Genomic DNA, 6,052 nt, shown 5'->3' with positions numbered 1-6,052 from the left:
CAGAAGTTTGAGACCAGCCTAGCCAACATGGTGAAACTCCGTCTCTACTAAAAATACAAAAATTAGCCGGGCATGATGGCAGGTGCCTGTAATCCCAGCTACCCAGGTGGCTGAGGCACGAGAATCACTTGAACTCGGGAGGTGGAGGTTGCAGTGAGCTGAGATCCTGCCACTGCACCCGCTGCACCCCAGCCTGACCAACAGAGTGAGACCCTGTCTCAAAACAAAAAACAAAAAACAACAACAGAGAGCACTCACCTAGTTTAAAATCACCCAAAATGCTTAGCCCTGAATTTTAAGCAGCACATGTGACCTGGTCCATTCTGGTTTCAAGTTCAAAGGCATCAGGCCGGTCCTGTGGGTTAGCAGCTAACATATCTTTCAAGAGCTGCTTGATCCCCTCAGACATGGAAGTCCTGCGTTTTTGGGGGATGTGCAACTCCATCTTTGGGTTTTCTAGCAGCGCCTCACCAACAGGGACGATCTCAGTCCCCTGTTTAATGTAGGTCCCCAGGAGCTCCTTCTTGGTCTCAGAGTCAATAAAAGTGATTCTTTCTATCATTGCCCAGATGATAATGCCCAGGGCAAAGATGTCCGCCTTGGCTGTGTAGTGTCCCTCCCAGACTTCAGGAGCCATGTAGAAGTCCGAACCGCAGGCTGAGGACAGCCAGTACTTATTCACATTCACATTTTTGTTGTCTTGATTGCCCTCTTTGCCTCGGGGTGCCAGCCCAGCACAGACCTTGCTTAGTCCAAAGTCGGCCACTTTGAGGATGGGGGTGCCAGACCGCTCTGTGATGAGGATGTTGTCTGGCTTCAGGTCCCTGTGCACAATATGGTTTTTGTGCAGGAAGGCAATGGCGCTCGTCAGCTGTAGCATGAAACTTTTGTTGGTGGCTGGGTCTGGCCTCCGGGACAGGACATACTGATTCAGGTCTCCACCTTCACAGAACTCCATGACAAACCAGAGATAGCAGGGCTCCTCAGCATAACCCAGGATCCTTTCTCCTAAATCAAAGAAGACAGGAAGGAGCTTGAGTGAGATGGACACAGTCACACTTCTTTTTAACTAAAGGATGCAGTGTATTCAAGAGTGACATTGGTGACAAACAACTGCTCCAAGGGGACCTGCACAACTGGCACTGAGTGCCTTTCTAAGGTATGACACAGGCACCAGGGACTGGTGTCAGGTACCTGGGTTTGGAATGAGGCCCAGGTGGAAACTCGGGTTTACTGCCGTCTGGTTGACTGCGAAGCCTTTTTGTTTCATTATACTGTCTCCAAACAGGGAGTGCCATACCACCCACACCTCCCAAAGCTGCTGGGCAGATGGGACAAGGGAAAGCATGCAAGAAGGCTGTCACGGGTCTGTTGCTTCTAATATCATTGTTACTCCATGCTGAGCAAATGACCTTCCCTCTCTTTTTTCCTGACTTGTAGAAGGATTCTTGTTAATGCACCTAGAATGGCACTAGAATTTCCTTTATTTCAGAGGCACACTCCTACAATTTCCTTGGTTTATTTCAGAGGCACAGTCCGATCCATCAATATTTTCTGCAAGCCCACCACATGCCTAGCACAAGTTAGGTACATAACATGCCTCCACCTCTATGAGGCTTAGTTTCAAGGAGATGACAGGTATCCACAGCAGCAACCATCAAAAGCTGTACATCGCCATCAGGCTCAACTACTACAAACAGTGAAGCGGAGGCAGGAGTCGCCAGATCTGAATGTACATCTCCATCAGGGTCAACTCATATAAACAGTGAAGGGGGGGGCAGGAGTGGCCAGATCTGAAGGTGTCAGAGGGGGCAGGACTGAACTTACCCTGTAAAAGGCAGGCAGTAGATCAGTGGGGGAGCAGGAAGGTAATTCTAGGCTGAAAGATGGAATGGATGATGGAACACAGGGACAAAAAGACCAGAAAGGTGTAAATTGGAAGTCTGGTGGGAACAGTGGAGTCTAAAGTCGATGTACAAGACAGATTTAAATTGTGTGGGCTTGAAACTCTAGGAAAGCTGGTGACCAACCTCTCCAAGCAAATCTCAATGTTCTTTATAAAGCAACTGACAGTCCAGTGAATCTTTATGTGGATGTTATGTGATGACTACAACTGCTCCCAAAGCTAAGTGTAAGAAGGCAGATGTTTTATCTCACTGATGAGGAGAGGCTGGGCCTGCAAATGTGCTGGCTTGTTCTGGGTGGTCACAAGGTCATTTGTAACTGAGCCAGGACCTGAAGAGAAGTCCTCTCTCTGGCCCCAGTATGGAGTATGCATCCTACCAAAAATGACTGCACTTCCTCAGACAGCTTCTGGCAGAGGGTTCCTTTTACTAGTCATTTACTCTATTACAAAGAAAACGAGTGATCTAGGTGAGGCTCTGCTAACCCCAACAGCCTGAAATTACCAAGGCTCACAGTCTACTAAAGCCAATGGTCTGAGAGTTCTGGGTTCAGCCAAGATGATGTGACACACAAAACAAAAGCTTTAGGTTTTTGATCACAATCGGATAGCCCTCACTTCCCTTGTAATTATATAATTTATTTGCTTATATTACTCACAATCAAAGTAATACAGGTAGAACCAGTTTAGGGCAGATGTTTTTTGTTCTTTTCAAATCAGTTATTTCCCCTCTCATAATCCTCTATCTAGGTCATGGGCAGAGGCCCTCTATGTAAAAATACTGCACAATGAAGCATCAATCTGAAGCCCAAGTCAATCCAGATGCTAAAGACCCACAAAAAGGAGAGCAAGAAATGTGTACTACAGGTAGAACCAGAAAGGAAAAGATCAAAAAGCCATCCAATTCCTTTTGCAAAGGCCACATCAGAAAACACTGAAACTTCTGGTGGGGGAATAAAGGAAGAGGAATGATGGTTATTTTATATACAAAGTTAGTAACTATGGCAACCTAAGGAAAAAGAAAACAAGTCTGCAAAACAGACTATAATCTAAGTCCAGGTTATGAGAATCCAGGGAAAGAAAAAATGGTAAAAAAAGAACCCAAAGTTTGTGAGTGGTTGGGGGAGACTGGACCTTCGGACTGAGGAGCTGCTCTGAGGAAGGAGCTAGACTCAGGAGATGCTACAGGAGGGGCTGTTTGTTGAGAGGAAAATTCTGGACAGGAAGAAGTATTCTCAGAATCACACCCAGTAACAGTGGGTATGACAGAATGGAAAACTGGGAGTGCAGCTATTTGTCCCAGATACAAAAGTGTTATTATTTTTACGAGTCAAGGTCTCACTCTGTCACCCAGGCTGGAGTGCAGAGGTGTGACCATAGCTCACAGTAGCCTCCAACTCCTGTGCTCAAGTGGTCCTCCCGCCTTGGCTTCCCAACGTACTTCCAAAAGAAGTACTTTTGAGGCCGGGTGCAGTGGCCTCAATAGTCCCAGCTTCTCAATAGCACCTGGCCTCAAAAGTACTTCTTTGCGCAGGAAAGGCCCCTGGACTTCTTTCATGAGAAGCTGCAGCGTATGCTTTCACACACGAACTCCCGGGAGAAAACAAACATGTCAGAATTCTAGTCCTTTACTCCAAGCAGACTGTCTAACGGGGTCTCAGCTACCTCACGACCAGATGGAAGGAGGCGACGTGGATGATGCCAGGCACTCGGAGGCACTTGGTGAAGTAACAGGAAAAACACAGACCAGGAAACAAAGAGTTTGGGTTCAGACCCCAACTCTGACCACTGCCTCACTGGGTGGATTCTTTGTTTCAAGGAAAACACAGGGAGACTGAGGTGTGATGAAAAGATGGCTGGAACCCTGGGCAAGTCCCTGAAGCTCTCTGAGCCTCAGTCTTTTTGGTACCTCAGTCTTCACATCTATCAAATGAGAGAATGAAACTATACCACATGAGTACTGTGACTTAAGTCAGATAGGAACTACATTTGGCAGAATGTAAGATCTTTTTGGGGAAATGAACCACTGACCATCACTAACATCATCATTCCCACTCAACCCCAACCAAATCCTTGGAAGTCACCGATTTCAATAATCCCAGTGCTGTAGGCCGTAAGAGTAAGTTTTTACATGTTAGGCAAAAGATGAAATTTAGATCTTAGAATGAAAGTGTATTATTCCATCTAAGACATCACACTTCTTAGGCTGTAACAGCTGAAACCCATGTTCTAGGCAGACCAGGCTATTCCTATTTGAAGTGATCCCTCTCCCTAGGCCTGCTGCCCCCACAATCTCTGCAGGTACAATTGAAATGTGCACCTTAAGGCTAGCTGCAACACCAGTCTATCTTATACTCACTTGATTTCCCAGTAACTTCCCTCTTCTGACCAGCCAAGGCCCTAGTTTCATATTTTTATTTTAGTTTTTATTAAATTATACCAGATATTCTGGTTAGCAATCTATGGCTTAACTCTTCTACTTAACCCTGAGAAATGCTGGCACATTCTGCAGATGTTTTGAGGTCGGGGGACTAGATTTCTTACTCAGTCTTCCGGCCTCCCCAGGGAGACCTGCAGTCATTTCCAAGGTGCCTGTGCATTGAGGAAGGGAAAGTAATCAAACTTTAGGGGATTACTGAACACAAGTTCCAAAAAGACACTAATTCCCAAAGAACCAAACTGTCACTGTGGTCCACCAGTCAGAACAGGACTGATGGAGGGCAGGTGATCCATGGAGTTTCAGCTCAGGCCCATCTCACAGTGGGCTCCCGACCCACCCACAACTGCGGGTATTTCCCCAGTTTCAGGATATATAATTGGAATAGATATATGCAGCAACCACTAAAATCCCCACATGAAATTCAGTTTTTTGAGCTGAGAGGAACAAATAAAATTTACTTAAGTTTTATAATTCCCTTGTCTGGTATAATCTGACAGTTGTATAAGATTAATAAGAGTTACAAATTTAGCTTCCTTCCCAGAGAGGGAGAAAACAGGCAGGTTATTTGGAGATAGTAAGGATTTGAGGTAAATTAGCCTGTGAAAGCCTACTGGGTTCCAGGTACTATTTTAAAAGTTTATTATGTGAGCTATCTCATCTTACCAGGCACCGTTTTACAGGTGGGGCAACTAAGGCTGAGAAAGGCTTCAGAGTCTGCCCGAGGGCCCTTACCATGAGTAACTGGGGGGGATAGGAGAGAACCCCCACAGCAAGTCCTCCCCCCAGACCATGCTGTCTCCCAGCTCACAGAGGGCTAAAAAGTGTTCTTCCAAGAGAGGCAGGCCTGCCTTTGGGGACAGTTTTACTACCTTTCCCTCAAGTCTGACAGTCAGGTGACCATAATATAAATTATGTATTTCAAAACATATCCTATGCCACAGTCCACAGGGAGAGAAGATGCTTAAAGTAAACCCAAGAACAAAACCAAGCAGGTGTCTTGCATCTCATTAGTCATGGAAATTCATCAGTAGTGCTTAAGTTCCCAATAAAAACATGGCTTGCTTCGCTGAAAAACGTGAGGCCAGCAGGCTCAGCATAAAGACAAGCCAGTAGGAGCTTTGGAAAGACAGGCACTTCCTGTAAAGAAATACAAAATGCTCTAGATTTTTACAAGCCTATCCTTAAGCCTTCTCCAGAAGTTAGATTTCCAGGTTTTAGTCAACGCCACTTCAACAATTTCTGAGCACACATTGCTCTTGAGACAGAGGTGCGGTGAGCTGAGGGGCATCCCTGCCCTTACATAGGCTTCTGGTCATTAGAAGCAGAATGACTACAGCTGTGAGAACTAGGAAGCGGGCCCGGATCTGCCAGAAGAGTTGGGAGAGAAGCTGGGATGAGAGGAAGGCAGGCTGAGAATAACTGCGAGAGGCCCTGCAGCTGCGTCTCCCAGGATGAGGGGAGTGGGCACAGGAGCAGGTGGGTGTGCGCCAGGGACACGAGTAGTCTGGATAATCACAGAAGAGTTTCTGTAGATGTGCCGGAATGAGGCTGGATATCTTCTAAGGTGGATTTAGACTCCAAGAAATGGGAAGTGACTGAAAGTTCTTAATACATTTTATTTATTTACTTATTTTGAAACGGTCTAGCTCTGTTGCCCAGGCCAGAGTGCAGCCAATCACAGCTCACTGCTGCCTCTACCTTCTGGGCTC

The 6,052-nt window shown here is 46.2% G+C and overlaps 1 protein-coding gene across 2 annotated transcripts in view; it reads right to left on the bottom strand.

Annotated features, from left to right (window-relative positions):
• The window catches only part of STK35 (serine/threonine kinase 35), a 46,729-nt gene that overhangs the window by 30,882 nt on the left and 9,795 nt on the right, over positions 1 to 6,052 (bottom strand). The window contains exon 3 of one of the 2 annotated variants that reach the window (NM_080836.4): positions 259 to 1,008. The exons of the other annotated variant lie outside the window; for it this stretch is intronic. Coding sequence (NP_543026.2) covers positions 296 to 1,008 — 713 coding nt within the window. The 3' untranslated portion in view covers positions 259 to 295. The remainder of the gene's footprint in view (positions 1 to 258; positions 1,009 to 6,052) is intronic. 2 annotated transcript variants of the gene reach the window in all.

Source organism: Homo sapiens, chromosome 20, assembly GCF_000001405.40.
Source record: "Homo sapiens chromosome 20, GRCh38.p14 Primary Assembly".
NCBI classification, from domain to species: Eukaryota; Metazoa; Chordata; class Mammalia; order Primates; family Hominidae; genus Homo; species Homo sapiens.
This window is presented reverse-complemented; position numbering and strand designations above follow the sequence as displayed.